Source organism: Homo sapiens, chromosome 15 (genome assembly GCF_000001405.40).
Source record: "Homo sapiens chromosome 15, GRCh38.p14 Primary Assembly".
Lineage (NCBI taxonomy): Eukaryota > Metazoa > Chordata > Mammalia > Primates > Hominidae > Homo > Homo sapiens.
In genome coordinates, this window is record NC_000015.10 from 55,402,602 (window position 1) to 55,428,287 (window position 25,686).

A 25,686-nucleotide genomic window follows, 5' to 3' on the forward strand; every position below is an offset into this window, starting at 1 on the left:
CTCAAGGGTCAGATCCTCTCATAGCCAGAGATAACTTCCCCAGAAGGAAAAATCTAAACTCCATTATTTCTTTGGCTCAAAGACTAATGCTTTAAACATGAAATGTATTTCTCAGAGGACCTGAGATTTCACATTCAATGTAGTCTCATTGTTCATGAAATAACTTAAAGATCCATTTGAGAATATTAAAAACAATAGCTACTTCCTATTGTCAAACTAGACTGATGACCATTCTTACACTTATAGAAGTGAGATTAAAACAAATCAAAACCAAAATTAAAAGCTCAACCACAGAAGTACACTGCAGTTTCAGGACATTTGATGCAACAGAGTGCAAAGTCACAGTCAGGAGAGGAGCCAGGTTTCCTTCAGTCTGGAAAAAGCCACCAATCTCTACCAAGAAATCAAATGAATAACCCATTTGACTTTTTTTCTTCATCAAACTTCCCAGTCAAAAAGTATTTATCACATCAAGGCATCACACTTCAAACATATAAGTGCTTTATGTAAATGCACTTAGTACAATAATACTTCATATGAGTAGATAACTCCACCACTTACAAAGCAATTTCATTTTCATATCTGATTTAATCTTCACAAATACCCCCATAAAGGCAGCTTGCTATTATTTACAAATTCCAAATGAAAACGAACAGAAAATTATAAATAATAACTTCCTCAACATCATTAAAAATCCTCTGATTTCCAACCTAATGCTCTTTTTACATTTCAACATGCTGGCAATATGAACCAGAAGTAAGATTTTGTAAGATTTTAAAAGAATAGTGATTTGGATAAGTACTTAAAAAAAAAAAAAGATTTCAGGCTTCCTGTGATGACAGAAAAAAATACTTAACTCCCACTTCTTATTTTCTAATACTTCCTCAGGTAATTCTATAGACCCTTAAAGAGGTTTCCACACATTAAATACCCTTTGGGGGAAAAAATCCCTTTATTTATCACTTAATTACAATCCTTCCCATATCATAGGGCTGAATTTCATCTTAGAACTCAAATTGAGAGAAAATATGGCCAAGTTTATCTGATGCAATACATTGCAAATGACCTTTGAAACCAAGTGTTTTAGTCTAGTTACAATTATGGAACTGTCAGGAAGGAAATTTGTGAAAATGTAATCCTTTATCACTTACAATACTGCAACTTCCTCATCTTCACCACAAAGAAACACAAACATAATTCAGCCTCCAGCAGTTCTGCACTGTTAGATGAGTCTGCATTTTTTGTTTAAAGTACCTTGGACTTAACAGGCCTTGCTGCTGTGTTCATGTTCTTAACATGTTCAAAAACTACTACTTCCATGATTTTAGCAGTTCATATGCACCTAATTTTTAAAAGTCTTTCTTTAACTTGCATAAGAATATAATTATACAACCCATACAATAATACTGTGGAATGAGTTAGTAAATCAGACATGTTAATCAATTATGAATTTTTCTTATGCCCTGTGAATAGACCCAAAGCCTAATAACATATTGAGCCAACTCAGTACACAGAATATACAAAATTATAAGGTAAAAAATATTGAAAAGAAATTGACATTTGGAGTAGGCAAGCTCCAAAGAAGACAACCTAAGAAAATAAAGTATGAACACCACAACCTGAAAAACAACGTGTTACCAGTGTTTTTTGTAAAACACTTTAGAATAGATATTTTATCCAGTGTTAATGGACACTTGGTGTTAAGGTAAACCCCCTTAATTTTTAAGGGCTGATAGTAGCCAAAAAAAAGAAAAATGTACTGTATATTACTGTGGAAGAACAATGTAGCCCTTTACAACAGAAAGCAAAATGTGGGCTAATGATTGATTATACTACTTACCAGTCCATATCCAACATAACCATAACAAAAAATAAAAACAAAAATAGACATAAGCCAAAATATCAGACATATAAAACATGGTTCTGAACGTGATTCAATGTTGACAAGTTTAAGATTTTCCAGGCTTAAGTGAAGAAAAGCTAAGTACTTTCACCTCTGATTTAACTGTACAAAGTGAAAAGAAACCAGATCAAAAGATGGGATGTACAGGCCAGACATGGAGCTCTCATGCCTGTATCCAGCACTCTGGGAGGCTAAGGCAGGAAAATCGCTTGAACCCAGGAGTTCAAAGAGACCAGCCTGGGAAACATAGCGAGACCCTGCCTCTACATAAAATTTTAAAATTAGGGCCAGGTGCGGTGGCTCACGCCTGTAATGCCAGCACTTCGGGAGGCCCAGGCAACCGGATCACGCATTCAGGAGATCGAGACCATCCTGGCCATTATGGTGAAACCCCATCTCTACTAAAAATACAAAAATTAGCCGGGCATGGTGGTGTGTGCCTGTAATCCCAGCTACGTGCCTGTAATCCCAGCACTTTGGGAGGCCAAGGCGGACAGATCACTTGAGGCCAGGAGTTCATGACCAGCCCGGCTAACATGGCAAAACCCAGTCTCTACTAAAAATACAAAAATTAGGTCAGGGGCAGTGGGTCACGTCTGTAATCCCAGCACTTTAGAAGGCTGAGGCAGGCGGACCACCTGAGGTCGGGAGTTTGAGACCAGCCTGACCAACATGGAAAAAACTCTGTCTCTACTAAAAAATGCAAAATTAGCCGGGCATGGTGGCACATGCCTGTAATCCCAGCTACTCGGGAGGGTGAGGCGGGAGAACCACTTGAAACCAGGAGGCGGAGGTTGTGGTGAGCTGAGATCTTGCCATAGCACTCCAGTCTAGGCAACAAGAGCGAAACTCCGTCTCAAAAAAAAATTTAGTGGGGCATGGTGTCACATGTCTGTGACATGTGACAGCTACTGGGAGGCTGAGGCAGGAGAATCACACTTGAACTCAGCTTGAATCACACTGTAATCCCAGCTACTAGGAAGCAGAGGTTGCAGTGAGCCGAGACTGAACCACCATACAATAGAGCAAGACTCTGTCTCAAAAAAAGTAATAGCCAGGCCTAGGCCTGGTGACATGTGCCTGTAGCCCCAGCTATGTGGGAGGCTGTGTTGGGATCACTTGAGCCCAGGAGGCTGCAGTAAGTCGTGTCCAGGCCACTGCACTCCAGACTAGGTGACAGAGCAAGACATCATCTCCAAAAAATAAAATGAGATCTACAAATGCTACAAATTGTCGGATCTGTTATTTTCTTCGAGTCCAACTATTTCATTTATTGTCCCTACTCTCCAAATAATTTACACTTAAATTCATATAGTCTACAGATGCAGCAACAGGGACTTTGCCTGTGTTTTTTACTGTTGTTGCTTATTTGGTGTTTTTGAGACAGTCTCACTCTGTCACCCAGGCTAGAGTACAGTGGCATGATCTCGGCTCACTGCAACTTCTGCCTCCCGGGTTCAAGCGATTCTCCTGCCTCAGCCTCCTGAATAGCTGAGATAACAGGCATCCGCCACCATGCCCAGCTAATTTTTGTATTTTTAGTAGAGACGGGGTTTTGCCACGTTGGCCAGGCTGGCCTTGAAGTCCTGACCTCAAGTGATCCGCCTGCCTTGGCTTCCCAAAGTCCTGGGATTACAGGCATGAGCCACTGCTCTAGGCCTTTATTTTCTTTTTAAAGTAATGTTCATAGAGTCCATAACTGGAATTGCTGCTTTTTTTTTTTTTTTGCATAAGGGTGGGGCTTTCCACTAGAAAGTGAAAAAAATGATATAGAAACTCTCAAAGTGCTGTTAATACTTGCATCCTTTTTTAAAAGTTTTTTCTACAGAAAACTTGAAAAATACAGGAAAGTACAAGAAAAATCATTTCTAGTTTCACTATCTACACTTTTATAACTGTGAATATCCTTTATTTCTTTTCTTTCTTTTTCTCTTTTTTTTTTTTTGTTTTTTTTTTTTTGTTTTTTTGAGATAATCTCACTCTGTCACCCAGGTTGGAGTGCGGTGGCCAGATCTTGTGGCTCACTGCAACCTCCGCCTCCCGGGTTCAAGTAATTCTCCTGCTTCAGCCTCCCAAGTAGCTGGGTTTACAGGCTAATTTTTGTATTTTTAGTAGAGACGGGGTTTCACCGTGTCGGCCAGGCTGGTCTCGAACTCCTGACCTCAGGTGATCCACCTGCATGGGCCTCCCAAAGTGCTGGGATTACAAGCCTGAGCCACCGCTCTGGACCCTTTAAGTCATTTCTAAAAGAAGTTATGTTCACTTTTTGTTCCATGGTTTACAAAATTGCAATTACACTATTTTCTAAACTGTTTTCATCTAAGAAGGAGTATTTCCCACACCTTTAAATTGTATTTGGGCTGATTTTTAATCAGCTTTTTTGACTGAAATTCCGCCCTCAGCGTAAAAGGTTAAAAATTATGAATTAACGCCCGCGCGGTGGGTCACGCCTGTAATCCCAGCACTCTGGGAGGCCGAAGTGGGCGGATCACGAGGTCAGGAGTCCAAGACCAGCCTGGCCGACACGTTGAGACCCCCCCCCCCGCCCCGCCGTCTCTACTAAAAATACAAAATTTAGCTGGGCGTGGTGGCGGGCGCCTGTAATCCCAGATACTCGGGAGGCTGAGGCAGGAGAATCGTTTGAAACTGGAAGGCAGAGGTTGCAGTGAGCCGAGATCGCGCCACTGCACTCCAGCCTGGGCAACAAGAGCGAAACCCTCTCTCAAAAAAAAAAAAAATATGAATTAAAATAATACCCTCACCATCTCCATCTTCTGCTATATGACCTGAACTCAGAAAATAAAAGTAAACCATTCACACTGGATGTGTGTGATAAATATCCCCTGAGACGTGTGGGACCCAATATGATTCTAATCTTAAAAGATACGATGCAGTAATAGCGATATTTCAAGCACTATCCTGTAGATTGGAGGAGACAAATCTAAAATTCATAGTACTATATAGTTAGCTATTCTAACTACAAGAATGCCCAACTGTGTTTTTCAATAAAAGTAGAGCAGAACAGTGCAAACTTCACCACTCAATAAAATACCTTACTTGGCGCTCCCAATAGTGCTAAACATAAACAACGCGTACAAGGCACTGCATGGGACAGCTGCTAATGAGGACAAATCGATTAGGGAGACCAAAGCTAAAGGAGGCCACTGGAACTGGAGAAGGATATGGAGAGGTATTTGATCATCATCAGGCTGGCGTGCTAGCGGAAGTCTCCGGGCATTATTTAATATTTAATCTTTCTATTCCTGACATCACGGGGGCTCAAATGTCATCAAAAGACAGGCTGGCATTAAACCCGGCAGGGTGACGCACATAACATCTTACCATATGGATTTTCATCAGTCCAGACCGACAAGCACCTCAAAGCCTGCCCAGTGAAGGAAGAAGGGTGGCCCAGGCCGTCAGCTCTCCCACCCTTGGCGCGCAGTTCGGTATAGCACTCGGGGTTTGGAGGCTGCAAGACCACCGGACCGGACGCCCCAGGGTCGGCTCGGGCCTCCGGAGCTGTGCACTCGCGCACGGCCCGAGGAGGTCGCCCGTGCGGCCGCTGACACCAGGCGTCAAGTCCCCGCCCGAGCAGCCCCAGCCTAGGAGGCGGACCCCGCCACTGCTCCTCTACTGAGCCGAGCGTGTCGGCCAGGGACTCAGACAGTCGGCACAAACCCCCTCCCGGGGTCTAAGCCCGCCTAGTACAGTACCTGAAGGGGCAGCGCCACCTCCGCCCGATTGTGCTGGCTGCCCCAGTGGCGGCGGTCACAGCTCGGGCGCCAATGACGCCTCTTATAAAAACAACCTGCTCGCAGGCGTCTGCAGCCGGCAGGCGGTGACCGGCTGGGCGCCGCAGTGCATGCCGTGACGCGTAGTCCCGCCTGCGCCTCCTGCCCGGCAGCGGTGAAGAGAAGAACTACCACTCCCGAAGTGGAGCGCAGGCCGCCGCCGGGCGGCTGCGGGAAGCTGGGCCAGGCGGCCGCAGATCCCCACAACATCCGGGAGCCGGCGACCACTTCCAGTTGCTATGGTTACGAGTTGCAACCTCCAGAAAGAATTCGTGGTTTCACCCGGGAAAACAGCTCCCCGGATTAAACGGATAGGTTTACACATACTGATCCACCCAGCTATTCATCTTCTGTTTGCTGCTTTAATTGGGTGCGGTTAAAAGGCCACGTCCCTAGGCGTTCACCGGCTTTCTTGCCATCTGCTGCATGAAAACTGACTTTGCCGAAAAAATTAACAAAGAAGAGCGAAAATGACAGACCGCAACCGGGTGAGTTTAGGCAGAGGGCTAGATGTTTGGGAATGTTGGTATTCGCTAGTATAATTTGAGGCACCACCTACTCCTACCACCCCCAACCCCACAACCCCGAAAAGCACTTTACAAGGCAACTACTGAGCTTTTACATTTACACTTGTAAATGCACGTTTCCTTAAGTCCGAATAGCCTCTGAAGGTGTAAAGACCATCGAGATTGTATGCATTCATACCCTACTGTTGCAAACTGTTCAGTGATGGTTTTGAACAAGAAAAACGTACTTTGTTAATTGTATACTTATTTAAATTGCACTGTGTCAAAGAAGGGAGTTGTTTTGAAAAAGGATTTGGTGGCCGGGCGCCGGGGCTCAACGCCTGTAATCCCAGCAATTTGGGAGGCCGAAGCGGGTGGATCACCTGAGGTCAGGAGTTCGAGACCAGCCTGACCTACATGGTGAAACTCCGTCTCTACTAAATACAAAAAATTAGCCAGGAGAGGTGGCGCGGGCCTGTAATCCCAGCTACTTGGGAGGCTGAGACAGCAGAATTGCTTGAACCTGGGAGGCAGAGGTTGCAGTGAGCCGAGATTGCGCCACTGAACTGCAGCCTGGGCAACAAGAGCAAAACTCCGTCTCAAAAAAAAAAAATCTTACATTTATATTCACTCTTTACAGAAGCAATAAAAAGTTTAGGTTTCATTCTCTGTCCCCTAATTGTGGTAAAAGTAAATAAATAAATGGAAAAATTAATAATAAACGTAAACATTAGCAAGGAAGACGGTGGACCTGAGCAGAGACAAAAGAGTGCCTCAAAATTAGACCTTTTTTATTTTTTATTTTTGCTTTTCTATTAACTATATTCAACATCAACAGTGACATCAAAAAATCTTAATTTTATAATTACAGCTTCTGCGATGGGCATTATTAATCAATGGCTTGTTTTCATTTATCTTTTTAAATGTATATGTATCTATACCAAAGGACTTCGAAAGGTCAAAGTGGTCTGGCTTTCTCTAACTGAAAATTAAATTACTAAGAAAGCTAATACCAGCTACTGGTAGATTTTTATACCTTTCAAGCCACTTTCACAGGCCAATTTTAAGATGTAATTTCTTCTGAAAAATCATTTACAATTTTAATTAACCTTTTTATCATTTAATAAAAGTTGATGACATGTGGCAGATAATTTGAACTCATCCTTTTATTATTCTTTGTATTGGCTATTTGTTTCGTTCTTAACTATAGTCAGTTTGAACTCCACATTTTAAGAATATCAGGTTTGAAGAAGGTGAAACCCATATTAGAAAACTGCAGTGGTTGTCTATGATGTAAAGTATAAAGCAATGGACCTTTTGTTTCTGAATCTATAAACATTTGTGAATTATCCTGGAAATCTAAAAAATTTTTAATTTAAGATTTAGCTTTTCCAGATTTTATGGTACTAATTATGCCAACAAAGTTTATCAGCTAATTTGTCTTCTGTTTTTACTAGATTTCGTTTTCTGCATTATGTTTTGAGCCAAAGCTGAACGAAATTCTAGAACCAGTAGTAAAGAGGGTCATTTGATAACAAGAAGAGTTCTCAGCTGGGCGCGGTGGCTCATGCCTATAATTCCAGCATTTAAGGCCCAGTACTCTGGGAGGCCGAGGCAGGCGAATCGCCTGAGTTCAAGAGTTCGAGACCAGCCTGACCAACATGGAGAAACACTATCTCTACTAAAAACACAAAATTAGCCGGGCGTGGTGACGCATGCCTATAATCCCAGCTACTCGGGTGGCTGAGGCAAGAGAATCGCTTGAATCCGGGAGGCGGAGGTTGCAGTGAGCCAAGATCACGCCACTGCACTCCAGCCTAGGCAACAAGAGCAAAACTCCATCTCAAAAAATAAAAAAATAAAAAAGAGTTCTCAGTGACTGAAGGAGATAGTATTAACAACAACAACAACAAAATCTACAAGTTGCCCTGGGCAACCTGCTTAGGTGCCCATAAAAGTAAATTACAGTGGTACTTTTCTGCGCAAGTCACAGGGCCTCCACCTTCCACCTATAAAGCTTTCCCCTGTGCTGAGGAAACCTAGAAAATTTAAGAAAAGCTGATCAGTTGAGATACCATCAAAATTTTAAAATTCTTATGATTTACTATTATCCAGTATCTGTGTTGTTAATATTTAAAGCAAATTAATAAGCAGTTTCAAAAAGAATAAACAGCAAGATCTGATGAGAATAACATTGATGACACTCAGTGAACCTGAGTTCTATTTCCAGCTTTGCCAACTACAAACTTATGAGTATTAAGTGAATATTAGCAAACCATATTATGCTAATACAAGGTCATTAACCTGTAGGTTTCAGAACTGTTTCTGGAAGATCATACATTGAGGTAAACCTGCAAAAAAGAAAATAATAAAATTTGGTGAGGCATGGTGGCTCACGACTGTAGTCCCAGCACTTTGGAAAGCTGAGGTAGGCGGATCATCAGAGGTCAGGAGTTTGGGAACAGCCTGGCCAACATGGTGAAACCCCATTTCTACTAAAAACACAAAAATTAGCCAGGTGTGTTGGCAGGCACCTGTAGTCCCAGCTACTCTGGAAGCTGAGGCAGGGGAATCACTTGAACCTGGGACGCAGAGGTTACAATGAGCTGCGACTGCGCCACTGCACTCCAGCTTAGGTGACAGAGCAAAACTCCATCTCAAAAAATAAAATAAAATAGTGATAAAAATTGATTCCATTTGGCCAGGCGCAGTGGCTCACACCTGTAATCCCAACACTTTGGGAAGCCGAGGCAGGTGGATCACTTGAGGTCAGGAGTCCAAAACCAGCCTGGCCATCATGGTGAAACCCCATCTCTACTAAAAATACAAAAATTAGGCTAGGCACGGTGGCTCACGCTTGTAATTCCAGCACTTTGGGAGGCCGAGGCGGGCGGATCACCTGAGGTTGGGAGTTCGAGACCAACCTGACTAACATGGAGAAACCCCATCTCTACTAAAAATACACAATTAGCCAGGCATGGTGGTGCATGCCTGTAATCACAGCTACTCGGGAGTCTGAGGCAGGAGAATGGCTTGAACCCAGAAGGCGGAGGTTGCGGTGAGCTGAGATTGCACCATTGCCCTCCAGCCTGGGCAACAAGAGCAAAACTCCTTCTCACAAAAAAAAATAAATAAATTTAGCTGAGCGTGGTGGCGCACGCCTTTAAGCCCAGCGATTTGGGAGGCTAAGGCAGGAGAATTGCTTGAACCCAGGAGGCAGAGGTTGCAGTGAGCCAAGATCACACCATTGCACTCCAGACTGGGCAACAGAGTGAGACTTTGTCTCCACAAAAAAAAAAAAAAAAAAAAAAAAATTGATCCCATTCATATAGTGATTCACCATTTACATCAAATTTTCTTTCATTTAATCTCCACAACCATAGGAACTATGGCAGATTTTTATTTACCAGTTTTACAGATAATATACAAATAAAGGTGAAATGATAAAGTATGAGAACCTAGGTCATAGTTGCTGCCTTGTGCTACTCTTCCAATATATCACATCCAGCCCTCTTTCGCTTATGATTCTCATTAAAATAAAGCAAAACATGAAAACATAGTATACTACACTGTGATTCTGCCTCAAGTTTATAAGGTTAATAAATTCTGTGGAGTTGGTAGAAGAGATCTGAGAGGTCAAATAATCCAGGCTCCACTGTTTTACAAACAAATTTTAGGCACAGAGAATCTAAGTGACTTGTCCAAGTTTAAATTGCTTTATATTTGATTCATATTTTCAGTCCCCTTATTCATGGAAAAATACTTTCAAAAACTTTAGTAGGGACACTATTCAGGTAGAACATTAATAATTGACTGAAAGCTGGACACTGTGGCATGTACCTGAAGTCCCACCTTGAGAAGCCAAGGCCTGAGGATCACTTCAGCCCAGGAGTTCCAGGTTGCAGTGCACTATTATCCCATTTGTGAACAGCCAGTGCACTCCAGCCTGGGCAACAAAGTGAGATCTCTGTCTCAAAAAAAAGAAAAAGTTGATGAAGAGTAGATTGAATATGGTTTTATAGTACTTTTAAGTTAAAAGCTGGGGATTGATATGGTAGCTTATGCCTGTAATCCCAGTGCTGTGGGAAGCCAAGGCAGGAGGATTGCTTGAGACCAGGAGTTCAAGACCAGCCTGGGCAACATAGCAAGACCTCATCCCTACAAAAAAATTATAAAAATTAAGGCTGGGCGCGGTGGTGCGCACCTATAATCCCAGCACTTTGGGAGGCCAAGGCGGGCGGATCACGAGGTCAGGAGATCGAGACCATCCTGGCTAACACGGTGAAACCCCATCTCTACTAAAAATACAAAAAATTAGCCGGGCACGGTGGCTGGCGCCTGTAGTTCCAGCTACTCGGGAGGCTGAGGCAGGAGAATGGCGTAAACCCAGGAGGTGGAGCTTGCAGTGAGCCAAGATCGCGCCACTGCACTCCGGCCTGGGCAAAAGAGTGAGACTCCGTCTCAAAAAAAAAAAAAAATTATAAAAATTAGCTGGGTATGGTGGTGTGCATGTAGTCCTAGCTACTTGGGAGGGTCACTGGAATCCAGGAGTTTGAGGCTGCAGTGAACTACGATCACTACTGCACTCTAGCCTGAGTGACAGAGAAAAACTTTCTCCCTTCTCCACACCAAAACAGTTAATTAAAAGCTGCCCTTTAAGAATGTTTTTAAGGGCCGGCCGTGGTGTCTCACGCCTGTAATCCCAGCACTTTGGGAGGCCAAGGCAGGCAGATCACTTGAGGTCGGGAGTTTGAGACCAGCCTGACCAACATGGAGAAACCCTGTCTCTACTAAAAATACAAAATTAGCTGGGCCTGGTGTGGCACATGCCTGTAATCCCAGCTACTCGGGAGGCTGAGGCAGGAGAATCGCTTGAACCTGGGAGGCAGAGGTTGCAGTGAGCCAAGATCGCGCCATTGCACTCCAGCCTGGGCAACAAGAGCAAAACTCCGTTTCAAAAAAAAAAAAAAAAAAAGACTGTTTTTATGGGGAAAGCATTTTAAATCAGCTTCATTTCAACTCATTAGGACTTTTTTTATTTTTCAGCTCTAAGTACATTTAAAATATGAGTAGATATAAGATATTACATAGAGAAATGCTTTTTTTTTTTTGAGACGGAGTCTCGCTCTGTCGCCCAGGCTGGAGTGCAGTGGCAGGATCTCGGCTCAAGGCAAGCTCCATCTCCCAGGTTCACGCCATTCTCCTGCCTCAGCCTCCCGAGTAGCTGGGACTACAGGCGCCCGCCACCACGCCCGGCTAATTCTTTGTATTTTTAGTAGAGACAGGGTTTCACCGCGTTAGCCAGGATGGTCTGGATCTCCTGACCCTGTGATCTGCCCGCCTCAGCTTCCCAAAGTGCTGGGATTACAAGCGTGAGCCACCGCGCCAGGCCTGGTTTTTTTTTGTTTTTTTTTTTTTTGAGACAGAGTTTCACTCTTGTTGCCCCGGCTGGAGTCAGTGAGTGGCATAATCTCGGATCACTGCAACCTTGGCCTCCCGGGTTGAAGCAATTCCCCTGCCTCAGCCTCCCGAGTAGCTGGGATTACAGGTGTGTGCCACCACGCTTGGCTAATTTTTTGTATTTTTAGTAGAGGCAGGGTTTCACCATGTTGGCCAGGCTGATCTCAGACTCCTGACCTCAGGTGATCCACCGCACTCGGCCTAGAAATGTTCTTATATTTGTAATTTTCCCAACTAGAAATGCAAATGAAATTAAATTTATAAAGGATTAGTCATTGTAAGTCTTCCAAAAAAGTTAGTAAGTGAAGTCATTAACTTTTAATAGATTTTCCAGCTGGGCATGGTGGCTCACGCCTGTAATCCCATCATTTTTGGAGGTTGAGGCGGGTGGATCACCTCAGGTCAGAAGTCCGAGGCCAGCCTGGCCAACATGGTGAAACCCCATCTCTACTAAAATACAAAAATTAGCTGGGCATGGTGGCGCACGCCTGTAATCCCAGCTGCTTGGGAGGCTGAGGCATGAGAATTGCTTGAACCCAAGATGGGGAGGTTGCAGTGAGCCGAGATGGCGCCACTACACTCCAGCCTGGGCAACAGAGTGAGACTCCATCTCAAAAAAAAGAAAAACAAAACATTGATTGTTCATCTATTAACTTTTAATAGGTGAACCATCTCAAAGTGAAATTTATTAAACAAAAAGTCTATTTATACTAACAGCACTTTAGAGAATACCCAGTTTGTAATTATTCTGACATAATTATACCAGGGCTGGGTGAACGTTTATCTTACATCAATGTAAGGTTGCAGAAGAAACTTAACTATTTAAGAAAATAAGCTATTTTCAAGTACTTCTATTAGTATTGTAGCAGGACAAGCCGCAGACAAAACCCCTCAGACACCGAGTTAAAGAAGGAAGGGCTTGGCCGGGCGTGGTGGCTCACGCCTGTAATCCCGGCACTTTGGGAGGCCGAGGCAGGTGGATCACCTAAGGTCAGGAGTTGGAGACCAGCCTGGCCAACATGGTGAAACCCTGTCTCCACTAAAAATACAAAAATTAGCCAGGTGCCTGTAATCCCATCTACTCGGGAGGCTGAGGCAGGACAATCGCTTGAACCTGGAAGGCGGAGGTTGCAGTGAGCTGAGATCCTGCCATTGCACTCCAGCCTGGGGGACGAGAGTGAAACTTCGTCTCAAAAAAAAAAAAAAAAAAGAGGGAAGGGAAGGAAGGGCTTTATTCGGCCATTCGGCAAGAATCCCGTCTCCAACAACCTAGCTCCCTGAGTGAGCAATTCCCGTCCCTCTTAAGGGCTTACAACTCTAAGGGGGTCCGCGTGAGAGAGTCCTGATCGATTGAGCAAGCAGCGGGTACGTGACTGGGGGCTGCATGCACCAGTAATTAGAATGGAACCGAACAGGACAGGGATTTTCACAATGCTTTTCCATAAAATGTCTGTATTCTACAGATAACATAACCGATTAGGTCAGGGGTCGATCTTTAACTACCAGGCCCAGGGTGTAGTGCCGGGCTGTCTGCCTGTGGATTTCATTTCTGCCTTTTAGTTTTTACCTCTTCTTTCTTTGGAGGCAGAAATTGGGCATAAGACAATATGAGGGGTGGTCTTCTCCCTTAGTATTTTTGGCATTAGCATTAGAATTAAAATTAACTTCCATCTAAATCAGTACACATTTCAGTTCTTTTGTAAGTAATGCTGTGAATTAAATTTTTCTACAATAAAGTTTCTTAGGATAGAATTCACAATCAGAATTTCAGGATTCAGTCATGACATTTTTTAGAGTTTTTCATGCAGTTTGTTGGTTTTTTTAAACATTGTTATATATATAGAGAGAGAGAGAGATAGAGTCTTTTGCTCTGTCACCAGGCTGGAGTGCAGTGGCGTGATCTTGGCTCACTGCAACCTCTGCCTCATGGGTCCAAGGGATCCTCTCCTGCCTCAGCCTCCCGAGTAGCTGGGACTACAGGCACATCCCACCACAACCAGCTAATTTTTGTATTTTTAGTAGAGACGGGGTTTCACCATGTTGTCCAGGATGGTCTCAATCTCTTGACCTCGTGATCCGCCCACCTTGGCCTCCCAAAGTGCTGGGATTTACAGGTGTGAGCCATTGCGCCTGGACGAAACTTGTTATATTAATTTATCAAGCCATCATCAATGCAAAGTGCTTTTCAGTGCCAAAATTATGTATCATCTATATATAAAACTACATATATATATTTAATTTACATATTACATTGTAGTACATTGTAGTAAATGGCACCACCATCCGCCCAAGTGTTTGTCCAGAAACCTGGAAGTTATCCTAGATCTGTCCTTTTCCCTCACCACCCACCTCCAATCAATCATGAGATCCTGTGAATTCTACTTCCAAAATATATTTCAAATTTGCTCCATAGGCTGGGCGCGGTGGCTCACACCTGTAATCCCAACACTTTGTGAGGCCAAGGTAGGTGGATCACCTGAGGTCAGGAGTTCGAGACCAGTCTGGCCAACATGGTGAAACCCTGTCTCTACTAAAAATAAAAAAAAATTAGCTGGTTGTCGTGGTGAGCTCCCATAATCCCAGCTAGTTGGGAGGCTGAGGCAGGAGAATTGCTTGAACCCGGGAGGCGGAGGTTGCAGTAAGCCGAGACTGCACCATTGCAGTCCAGCCTGGATGACAGAGCGAGACTCTGTCTCAAAAAACAAACACACAAAACAAAACAAAACAAACAAATTTGCTCCATCTCCATGCTACCACCTACTATATATTGTCATCATTACTCACATGGACTACTGCAGCTCCTCACCACATTCACACAGGCCCTAACAACAGCCAAAGTAATTTTACTAGAATTATATTACCTCATGTCACTCCTCTCCTTAAAACCCTTCAATAGTTTTTCATTGCTTTTACAATAAAGATTCAGATTTTAAACACAGTCAACAAAACCCTAAGAGATCTAACCCCTGGCTCTCTATTCTGATCTCATGATATTTTCACCCTAATTTACTTGACTTTTGCCATACTTTGTCCCCACTTCTATCTTTTACTTCCTTGCCTTATAGTCAATCTTAGATTGAATGGTACTTCAGTGGAATGGCTTTCCCTAACCCCCAACACTAGATAAGAACCCCCATTCTGTCTTCATTAATATCTTGTATTTTTTTTTCTTCATAGCAGTTATCACAATTGTAATTATTCAGTTAGCTATGTAATTAGTTATTTAATGGCTGCCCACATACCCAGGCTAACCCTGGATGTTTATCTTGTTCCTTTCTCACTCTAAAATCAAGCTGTACTTCCTCTTCTAACTATGACTTTTACAGATTTTTCCCTATGATTTACAGATTTTTAAATAAATTCTCATAGTTCTAGTACAGAATGTTTAAAAAGGTAACTTAGCATATTTTTGACAACTTTGCTCTGTGTACAGGTGTATGTGATTTTAAGGGTAGTCTTCAACGTCAAGAGAAGAGACCACCAAACAGGCTTTGTGTGAGCAATAAAGCTTTTTAATCACCTGGGTGGAGGCGGGCTGAGTCCGAAAAGACAGTCAGCGAAGGGAGATAGGGGTGGGGCCGTTTTATAGGATTTGGGTAGGTAATGGAAAATTACAGTCAAAGGGGGTTATTCTGTGGCGGGCAGGGGCAGGGGTCACAAGGTGCTCAGTGGGGGAGGTTCTGAGCCAGGAGAAGGAATTTCACAAGGTAATGTCATCAGTTAAGGCAGGAACCGGCCATTTTCACTTCTTTTGTGATTCTTCACTTGCTTCAGGCCATCTGGATGTATACGTGCAGGTCACTAGGGATATGATGGCTTAGCTTGGGCTCAGAGGCCTGACATTCAATGCCCTCAAGAGAACAGAATTCCTGAAAAAGGGAAGTGGGTGGGACTGAATTAAATTTTTTTTTTTTCAGAACTTTATAATGGAGAATGATTTTATGTGTTTATCTTTTAGGATAAGAAAAGTACTTCACCTTCAAATTCAGACACAGAAATGAAATCTGAACAACTGCCTCCTTGTGTGAACCCTGGCAATCCTGTGTTTTCATGTATGTTGGATCCAAAGACACTCCAGACAGCCACCTCACTATCAAAACCTCAAATGATTATGTATAAAACCAATTCAAGTCATTATGGTGAATTTCTACCTATTCCACAGTTTTTCCCCTGCAATTATACTCCAAAGGAGCAAGTATTTTCAAGCCATATCAGAGCAACTGGATTTTATCAAAATAACACTCTAAATACTGCACCTGACAGAACCAGAACTCTTGATTTTCCTAATATTCAACACACTCTATGAAAATATATTCCTTTGTATATTGAAGAGAAAATATACTCGGGAAAAATGAGTGTTAAATCTAAGGGTAGAATACCTAATAAAGAAGATAAAAAGTTTTGAATCAATTTTTAAAATAAGTTAAATAAAGTATTTCAACTGATAACTACATGACAGTGACTTTTTAAATGAAAATATGTTCAAAATAGCAAAATAAAAGGTAGAAAGTGTTTTAGTCCATGTAATCCAAAAGCTTCAAAAGCCTTTCATATTTTATTTACTTATCTATTGAGTATACTTATCAAGACAAAGGAACACAGGAGCTGTAAGGAAAAAAAAATTGATTTAAGGAAGCTTCTGACCAACAATTTCACACTTTTTTTTTTTTTTTTGAGTGAGTTGGAGTCTCGCTCTGTCGCCCAGGTTAGAGTGCAGTGGTTGCTCACTGCGACCTCCGCCTCCCAGGTTCAAGCGATTTTCCTGCCTCAGCCTCCTGAGTAGCTGGGATTACAGGCACTCGCCACTACACCCAGCTAATTTTTTGTATTTTTAGTAGAGACGGGGTTTCACCCTGTTAGCTAGGATGGTCTCAATTTCCTGACCTGGTGATCCGCCTGCCTCGGCCACCCAAAGTGCTGAGATTACAGGTGTGAGTCACTGTGCCCAGCCAACACACTTATATTTTTTATTTTTGGAGAAATGGTTTCACCTTATCTCACCCAAGCTGGAATGCAGTGGCATGATCATGGTTCACTGCAACCTTGGACTCCTGGGCTCAAACTATCCCCCACCTCAGCCTCTCGACTAGCTGGGACTACAGGCACCAACAACCATGCCCCTAGCTAATTTGTGGGGTGTGTGTGTGTGTGTGTGTGTAGATGGAGTCTCACTGTGTTGCCCAGGCTGATCTCAAACTCCTGTCCTCAAGCAGTCATCCTGCCTCGGCCTCCCAAAGTGTTGGGATTACAGGAGTGAGCCACACTGCCCAGCCAATTTCCCACTTTTAACATTGTGTTAGTTCCCACTGCTAGGCTGGTGGAAGAGAGAACTTGTAATTTATTGATAGATTGAGCAAATATTTTTTGAACCCCGACTGATGGCAGACTGTACTATGCAAATAGAGATACAGAAATAAAAGACAGTGATTTTTGTTTTAATTAACAATATTGGCCGGGTGCGGTGGCTCACACCTGTAATCCCAGCACATTGGGAGCCCGGGGCTGGTGGATCACCTGAGGTCAGGAGTTTAAGACCGACCGGCCTGGCCAAAATGGTGAAACCCCATCTCAACTAAGATACAAAAAAATTAGCTGGGCATGGCGGCGGGTGCCTGTAATCCCAGCTACTTTGGGAGGCTGAGGCAGGAGAATCACTTGAACCTGGGAGGTGGAGGTTGCAGTGAGCCAAGATCACGCCATTGCACTCCAACCTGGGCAACAAGAGCAAAACTCTGTCTCAAAAAAAAAGAATAAAAAAAAGTATTTTGGGAGAATGAGATTAGCAAATTAATATGTGATAATTTTTGTAATGTAAAGTAGGCAGTATGCACAGGCCTTTCAGACAGACACAGAATTGCTCAAATTGAGACCAGAGAGATCAGGAGAAGTGTCCTGGAGAAGATAAAGCTAAATCAAAAGAAGGCTATTCTAGGGAGAGGAAACTATATGGATAAAAGTACAAAGATGTGAGACAATGTGGTATATTTTTATAAATGCAATTAATTTTATATATCTTCAACACAGTGTGAGCAGTGGCAGGTGACAGGCTACACAATTCTTTAAAATCTTTGATTCTACTACACACAGATTTATTTCAGCTGCCATCTGTTTAAACCATATGTTGATAATTGGGTCTGAGTATCTTTCTGGAAAAAAAAAAAATCATTGTTATTTTCCCCTGTTGGTTTCAGTTCAGGATATTACCATCAATTAGAAAGAATAAATTTGTGAGTCATAAGGGGATTATAAAAGTTGAATCTTCTAATCATAAAATTTGCTTGATGTAAGGAAACAGCTCAAACTCTGCAGACTCATCAACTTCTTCCAAATACCCCCCCAAAACTGATATTTAGTAATGGCACAAGCAAGAAGAAAAATTAATTTTTTTCACTTCCTCAAAACATCAAATAGTGGGGCACTGCACAAGATGTCCAAGTGAATTATGCAATAACATTTTAGTTTATTAGCCTGTTCTTGCAGTATAAACCATACAAACCATTTTCCCCCTTCACTGCAGGTGCCCAATTCATGGCAAGTGAATTTACCTTTTTATATGTAGAATCTAGATACTAACCTAAAATTCCTACCTATGGCAGTGGTGCACTGTTCGGTCATTTTTGTTGTTGCTAAATTCTCAGGATTGGCCGGGCACGGTGGCTTACACCTGTAATCCCAGCATTTTGGGAGGCCGAGACGGGCAGATCACTTGAGGTCAGCAGGTCGAGACCAGCCTAGCCAACATGACAAAACCCCGTCTCTACTAAAAATACAAAAAATTAGCCAGGCGTGGTGGTGTGTGCCTATAGTCCCAGCTACTTAGGAGGCTGCGGCAGGAGAATCGCTTGAACCCAGGAGGCAGAGGTTGCAGTGAGCCAAGATCACACCACTGCACTGCAGCCTGGGCAACAGAGTGAGACTATCTCAAAAAAAAAAAAAAAAAAATTCTCAGGATACTCCAGGCACAGTGGCTCACACTTAAAATCCCAGCACTTTTGAGAGGCCGAGGTGGTCCGATTACAGGAAGCCAGGAGTTCAAGGCAAGCCTGGGCAACATGGTGAGACCACATCTCTACTAAAAATACAAAATGCTTAGCCAGGCATGGTGGTGCATGCCTGTAATCCCAGCTACTCCAGAGGCTGAGGCACAAGAATCTCTTTAACCTGGGAGGTGGAGGTTGCAGTGAGCTGAGATCATGCCACTGCACTCCAACCTGAGTGACAGAGGGAGACTTCATCTAAAAAATAATAAAATTATCAGGATAAGTAGCTGAAAATCAAGCATATCATCTGGAATTTCATTATATACACAGTCATTCAGTGCCTATTAAAGTCCCAGGACTGGCTGGGCATGGTGGCTCACGCCTGTAATCCCAGTACTTCGGGAGGCTGAGGCAGGCAGATCACCTAAGGTCAGGAGTTCAAGACCAGCCTGACCAATATGGAGAAACCCCATCTCCACTAAAAATACAAAAAAAATTAGCTGGCATGGTGGCGCATGCCTGTAATCCCAGCTACTTGGGAGTCTGAGGCAGAAGAATCTCTTGAACCCCAGAGGCGGAGGTTGCGGTGAGCCGATATCACACCATTGCACTCCAGCCTGGGCAACAAGAGGGAAACTCCGTCTCAAAAAAATGTATAATAATAATAATAATAATAATAATAATAATAATAATAATAATAAAGGTCCCAGGACTATACTAGGCACTAGAAGCTAGTCCTAATGGAGTTTAGATTCTAATGAATCCCAGCAGGAGAAAACAGACCAAAAAGCATGTATAAATACATATTTTTATATATTTACAAATAAAAATACACATGAATATATGCATAAATAACATGATAACATACATAGGTAACTATGTAAATATATATGGCTAGATGTATAGAACATGCCAAGTGATAAGTGTTACGGGAAAAAACATAAAATAGAGTTAGGAGGAAAGTGAGTACTTCAGCAAGGAGTTACTTTAGGTAGGTGGAAAGGGAAGGTTTCTGATAAGGAGATGTCTGACCACACCCTCTAAAGGAGGTTAAGAGAACATCTGAGGAAAGTCAAGTTGATGTAAGGCAACTGAATATACAACTTGAATTCAAGGGAGTAGCCCAAATTGAAGATTATCACTTGGAACATGTTATTTAAAATGATTAAACCAGATAAGACTACAAAGTGTAGGTAGAAAACAGACCTGAGGACTATGCTTTAGGGAAAACCACCATTTAGAGGTCAAGGCAAAGAACAAGAAGAAACAAATGAGACCAAGAAGGAGTGACTACTGAAGAAAGAGGAAATTAGAAGACTGTGAGGCCTGGAAGCCCAGCTTGTTTCAAGGAGAGGGAATGACCCAGCAGTGTGAAATTATCTTGGGAGATATAGCATATGAATTGAGAACTGACCTTTGATTAGGCAAATCAGAGGTCATGGATGACTTCAAACAGAATTATTTCAACAAGGCCAGGCTCGAAGGCTCACACCTGTAATCCCAGAACTTTGGGAGGCTGAGGTGGGCAGATCGCCTGAGGTCAGGCGTTTGAGACCAACCTGGCCAACATGGTGAAACTCCATCTCTACTAAAAATACAAAAATTAGCCAGGTGTGATGGTGGAAGCCTGTAATCCCAGCTACTCGGGAGGCTGAGGCAGGAGAATCGCTTGAACCCAGGAGGCAGAGTTTGCAATGAGCCAAGATCACGACATTGCACTCCAGCCTGGGTGACAAGCAAAACTCCGTCTCAAAAATAAATAAATAAATAAATAAATAAATGTATTCCTCTCTACAAGAAGAAGCGGTAGAGAGGAAAACTTTATTGGAATAAGAAAGAACAGAAAAACTCAAAACTAATTTTAAGTAGTTTTGCTGCACACTGAACAGATAAATGGGGCAATAGCTAGATGTAGAGCCAAAAGTTTTTTTTTTTTTAAGATATGATATAATATAGCATATTTTGTATTCTTTTTGAGTCAGGGTCTCCCTCTGTCACCCAGGCTGGAGCGCAATGACACAAGCACAGCTCACTGTAACCTCAACCTCGACTTCCCCGGCTCAAGCGATTTTCCAACCTCAGCCTCCCAAGTAGCTAGGACTACAGTCATGCACCACCATGCCTGGCTAACTTTTTTTCTATTTTTTGTAGAGATGGGGGTCTCGCTATGTTGCTTAGGTTAGTCTTGGACTCCTGGGCTCAAGTTATCCTCCCACCTCCTCCCAAGTGCTGGGATTATAGGCATAACCCACCACCTCCCAAAGTGTTGGGATTATGGGTGTGAGCCACCATGCTGACCAGAGTATTTGTATTCTGATTAGAACACATTTTGAGAACTGCTGACCTACAGCAATCAGATGTAAATATAGCTGAAGATAACTAGAGAGTCATGTTAGTCCTTAATATGGACTAAAAAAGCTAAAGTAAAGCCAGCGCGGTGGCTCACACCTGCAATCTCAGCACTTTGGGAGGCTAAGGCCGGTGGATCACTTAAGATAAGGAGTGCGAGACCAGGCTGGCCAATATGGTGAAATGCTGTCTCTATTAAAAAATACAAAAATAGGCCAGGCACAGTGTCTCACACCTGTAATCCCAGCATTTTGGGAGGCCAAGGTGGGCAAATCGCCAGAGGTCGGGAGTTTTGAGACCAGCCTGGGCAACATGGTGAAAAGCCATCTCTACTAAAAATACCAAAATTAGCCGGGCATGGTGGCGCATGCCTGTAATCTCAGCTACTTGGGAGGCTGAGGCAGGAGAATCACTTGAACCCAGGAGGTGGAGGTTGCAGTAAGCCTACATCACACTACTGCACTCTAGCCTGGGTGACAAAGCAAGACTCTGTCACACACACAAAAGAGACTATTAGGTCATGGGGACACCATACTCTTGAATAAATTAAAGTTGTTAATACAGAAGTGAGTTAGTTATTGCAGGACTGGGTTTAGTTATAAAAGAGGGGAGTTCAGCCCCCTTTTCCTTTCCTTTCTTCTTGCATGCTGTCTTACTATGTGATACATTCTGCCATGTTATCATATAGCAAGAAGGTCTTCACCAGATGCATGTAGTCCCTTAATCTTGACTGCCCAGCATGCAGAACCATGAACCAAATAAATCTCTGTCCTTTATAAATTACCTAGTCTGTGGTATTCTGATACAGCAGTGGAAAATGAAGTAAGGCACCTACTTTTTCCCTAGATGGCATGTGCAAAATCCTTTGCCCTTATTTCCCACATGGATGAAATTTGTTGGAAAGCAGTTGGCTTGCTAGTGATTAAGAGGTCTCTCCTTGACCAAACTCTAGATAGGCTCCTGTGAACCACTTTTTTGACTAGGCCCCATCCTTGCACCTTGCTCTTTATCCAGGCTAGAGTGCAGTGGCACGATCTCAGCTCACTGCAACCTCTGTCTCCCAGGTTCAAGCGATTCTCCTGCCTCAGCTTCCTGAGTACCTGGGATTACAGGCATGCGCCACCATGCCCAGCTAAGTTTTGTATTTTTAGTAGAGACAGGGTTTCACCATGTTGGTCAGGCTGGTCTCCAACTCCTGACCTCATCATCCACCTGCCTCAGCCTCCCAAAGTGCTGGGAATACAGGCGTGAGACCCCGTGCCCGGCTGTACCTTGCTTTTTTTTTGGAGATGGAGTTTTGCTCTTGTTGCCCAGGCTGCTGGAGTGCAATGGCGCATTCTCGGCTCACCACAACCGTCACCTCCCAGGTTCAAGCAATTCTCCTGCCTCAGCCTCCTGAGTAGCTGGGATTACAGGCATGTGCCACCACACCTGGCTAATTTTGTATTGTTAGTAGAGATGGGGTTTCTCCATGTTGGTCAGGCTGATCTTGAACTCCTGACCTCAGTTGATCCGCCCACCTCGGCCTCCCAAAGTGCTGGGATTACAGGCGTGAGCCATCACGCTCAGCCACATACTTTGCTCTTAAGAGCCCAGTCATGGCAAGAATCCTGCCAAGTTCCTTTAGCCAGAATCCCCACCATCAATATCTGATCACCCTTGATATTTGACCAGATTCCTCATTCCCTACCATCCCCCCGGTGATAACTGATCAACCTGGCCTGTCTTCAGCAAGAATCCTGTTAGGTCAATTTAACCAGAATTCCTCTAACCCCTAATGTTTTCTCTTGGTAATTTTCCATCCACTGACCACCTTCATTACCCAACCTACTCCTTGGCTATAAACCCCTACTTGTCCATGCCATATTTGGAACTGAGCCTAGTTCTTTTTCATTTTTTATTCTCAGGCCTCACAGGAATGAAAAGAACTAAGCCTCGTTCCATGCTGAGGTCTCTTTTTCCTTATTATAAGTTACTGAGTAAAAGCATTTTTTTTTTCACTTTACTGTTCAACTCTGATTTTCTTCTACACTAGGGAACCAAGACAGAATAGGTTTATATAACACTAAACTATTAGACAATATCTCTGTATTAGGACTAATATTTTGACCTCTGTCAGCAAAGAGCTAACGTGTGGAAAATAAAAATCATCCCAAACCTGGTGTAGGACAGAACCCTTTTGCTTGATGTAATTCACAACCTCTTTCTGGGATGTGTTAAATAAAATGTATGGAAGGCCACTGATTTGGACTGAACCTCTTGCGCTAGTGTAACTGCCCAATGGGTTGACCTTGCCTGCTGCCTAGACAGAGCCAATTTATCAAGACAGGGGAACTGCAACAGAGACAGAGTAATTCACACAGAGCCAGCTATGCAGGAGACCAGCGTTTTATTACTAATCAAATCAGACTGCCCAAGCATTTGGGAATCAGAGTTTTTAAGGACAACTTGGTGGGTGGGGGGAAGCCAGTGAGCCAGGAGTGCTGATTGGTTAGGTAGATGAAATCAATAGGAATTGAAGCTGTCCTCTTACACTGAGTCAGTTCCTGGGTGGAAGTCACAAGATGGGATGAGCCAGTTTATTGAGCTAGGTGGTGCCAGCTGATCCAGCAAGTGCAGGGTCTGCAAAATATCTCAAGCACTGATCTTAGGAGCAGTTTAGTGAGGGTCAGAATCTTGTAACTTCCAACGGCATGACTCCTAAACCATAATTTCTAATCTTGTGGCTAATTTCTTAGTCCTACAAAGGCAGTCTAATCCCCAGGCAGGAAGGAAAAGGTTTTGGAGAAAGGTTGTTAACATCTTTGTTTCCAACTATAATCTATAAACTAAGTTCCTCCCAAAGTTAGTTCAGCCTATGCACAGGAAGGAACAAGGACAGCTTAAAGGTTAGAACCAAGATGGAGTCTGTTAGGTTAGCTCTCTTTCACTGTCTCAGTCATTGTCCTGCCTCAGACTCCTGAGTAGCTGGGATTACAGGTGCTTGCCACCATGTCCGGCTAATTTTTGTATTTTTAGTGGAGCTGGGATTGGCCAGGCTGGTCTCGAACCCCTGACCTCAGGTGATCCGCCCATCTCAGCCTCCCAAAGTGCTGGAATTACAGGCATGAGCCACTGAGCCTGGCCCAAAATTTAGTTGTTTATCTGATCTTCTGATAAATCATGAGAGAGAAGATAGCCAAATACCCAAACAGGCCCCTTTTAGCTGGCAGGATAGGGAAGTCCTCACTGTTTTAACTCTTGCAAGGAAAGTGATCTGAAGTTACATCAACCAACCCACTTTTTGTATTATGCTGTTTCTTGTTCCTGCTTCAGCTACCCTATAAATACCAATTGTTTTTGTAACCCCCAAAGGGGTTTACTCTGCCTGCTGCCTAGACAGAGCCAATTTATTAAGACACGGAAATTGCAACAGAGAAAGAGTAATTCACACAGAACCAGCTGTGCAGAAGACCAGAGTTTTTTTGTTTTTTTTTGTTTGTTTGTTTGTTTTGAGACAGTCTCGCTCTGTCGCCCAGGCTGGAGTGCAGTGGCCCGATCTCAGCTCACTGCAACCTCCGCCTCCTGGGTTCAAGCAATTCTCTGCCTCAGCCTCCCGAGTGGCTGGGATTACAGGTGCCCGCCACCACACCCGGCTGATTTTTTTGTTTTTTTAGTAGAGACGGGGTTTCACCATCTTGGCCAGGCTGTTCTTGAACTCCTGGCCTCGTGATCCACTCGCCTAAGCCTCCCAAAGTGCTGGGATTACAGGCGTGAGCCACCGCGCCCAGCCAGGGAGCAGAGTTTTTAAAGACAACTTGGTGGGTGAGGTGAAGCTGGTGAGCCAGGAGTGGCTCATTGGTTAGAGATGAAATTAAAGATTGGAGCTGTTTTCTTGTGCTAAGTTAGTTCCTGGTTGGGGGGGCCACAAGATTAGATGAGTCAGTTTATTGATCTGGGTGGTGCCAGCTGATTCATTAAGTGCAGGGTCTGCAAAATATTGTAAACACTGATCTTAGGAGCAGTTTAGGGAGGGTCAGAATTTTGTAGCCTCCAGCAGTATGACTTCTTTTTTTTTTTGAGATGGAGTTTCGCTCTTCTTGTCCAGGCTGGAGTGCAATGGCGCCACCTCAGCTCACCGCAACCTCCGCCTCCCGGGTTCAAGGGATTCTCCTGCCTCAGCATCCCGAGTAGCTGGGATTACAGGAAAGCGCCACCAGGTCCAGCTAATTTTGTATTTTTAGTACAGACAGGGTGTCTCCATGTTGGTCAGGCTGGTCTCGAACTCCCGACCTCAGGTGATCCACCCGCCTCGGCCTCCCAAAGTGCTGGGATTGCAGGCATGAGCCACCGCGCCTGGCCTCCAGCAGTATGACTTCTAAACCGTAATTTTTTTGGAGATGGAGTTTCACTCCTGTCACCCAGGCCGTAGTGCAATGGCCCAATCTCCGCTCACTGCAACCTTCACCTCCCAGTTTTAAGTGATTCTCCTGCCTCAGCCTCCCAAGTAGCTAGGGATTACAAGCACCTGCCACCATGCCCGGCTAATTTTTGTATTTTTAGTAGACACAGGGTTTCACCATGTTGGCCAGGCTGCTCTCTAACTCCTGACCTCAAGTGACCCACCTGCCTCAGTGTCCCAAAGTGCTGGGATTATGGGCATGAGCCACCATGCCCAGCATAAACTATAATTTTTAATCTTGTGGCTAATGTTA

At 43.6% G+C, this 25,686-nt stretch overlaps 3 protein-coding genes and 1 long non-coding RNA gene across 7 annotated transcripts in view, besides 4 other annotated features; 1 reads left to right on the forward strand and 3 right to left on the reverse strand.

The window, feature by feature from the left end:
• The window catches only part of CCPG1 (cell cycle progression 1), a 53,121-nt gene extending 47,363 nt beyond the window's left edge, over positions 1-5,758 (reverse strand). For 3 of the 4 annotated variants that reach the window (NM_001204451.2, NM_001204450.2, NM_020739.5), the window contains exon 1: positions 5,620-5,758. The gene's annotated coding sequence lies outside the window, so the exon portion shown is untranslated. Of the gene's footprint in view, positions 1-5,245 lie in introns of all 4 variants that reach the window. The other variant, NM_004748.6, reaches the window with a different exon arrangement.
• DNAAF4-CCPG1 (DNAAF4-CCPG1 readthrough (NMD candidate)) overlaps positions 1-25,686 on the reverse strand; it is a 143,362-nt gene that overhangs the window by 47,379 nt on the left and 70,297 nt on the right. The gene's annotated exons all lie outside the window — the stretch shown is intronic.
• Positions 950-1,244: an enhancer, noted in NCBI's record as "tiled region #6559; K562 Activating non-DNase unmatched - State 1:Tss". NCBI's record gives its function as "activates a minimal TATA promoter and a strong SV40 promoter by Sharpr-MPRA in K562 cells {active_cell/tissue: K562}" and the evidence as "EXISTENCE:reporter gene assay evidence [ECO:0000049][PMID:27701403]".
• Positions 4,978-5,257: an enhancer, noted in NCBI's record as "active region_9445". NCBI's record gives its function as "activates an Ori minimal core promoter by ATAC-STARR-seq in GM12878 lymphoblastoid cells {active_cell/tissue: GM12878}" and the evidence as "EXISTENCE:reporter gene assay evidence [ECO:0000049][PMID:35858748]".
• Positions 5,618-5,887: an enhancer, noted in NCBI's record as "active region_9446". NCBI's record gives its function as "activates an Ori minimal core promoter by ATAC-STARR-seq in GM12878 lymphoblastoid cells {active_cell/tissue: GM12878}" and the evidence as "EXISTENCE:reporter gene assay evidence [ECO:0000049][PMID:35858748]".
• On the forward strand, positions 5,894-16,197 carry PIERCE2 (piercer of microtubule wall 2). The gene is made up of 2 exons (NM_001198784.2): positions 5,894-6,185; positions 15,622-16,197. Exons 1-2 carry the CDS (start codon positions 6,168-6,170, stop codon positions 15,967-15,969), a joined length of 366 nt encoding a protein of 121 aa, NP_001185713.1. The 5' UTR covers positions 5,894-6,167; the 3' UTR covers positions 15,970-16,197.
• Positions 5,938-6,137: an enhancer, noted in NCBI's record as "active region_9447". NCBI's record gives its function as "activates an Ori minimal core promoter by ATAC-STARR-seq in GM12878 lymphoblastoid cells {active_cell/tissue: GM12878}" and the evidence as "EXISTENCE:reporter gene assay evidence [ECO:0000049][PMID:35858748]".
• The window catches only part of DNAAF4 (dynein axonemal assembly factor 4), a 90,480-nt gene continuing 79,947 nt past the window's right edge, over positions 15,154-25,686 (reverse strand). Inside the window, exon 9 of the mRNA NM_001033560.2 lies at positions 15,154-15,532. Within this exon, the coding sequence (NP_001028732.1) occupies positions 15,434-15,532 (99 nt within the window). The 3' untranslated portion in view covers positions 15,154-15,433. The remainder of the gene's footprint in view (positions 15,533-25,686) is intronic.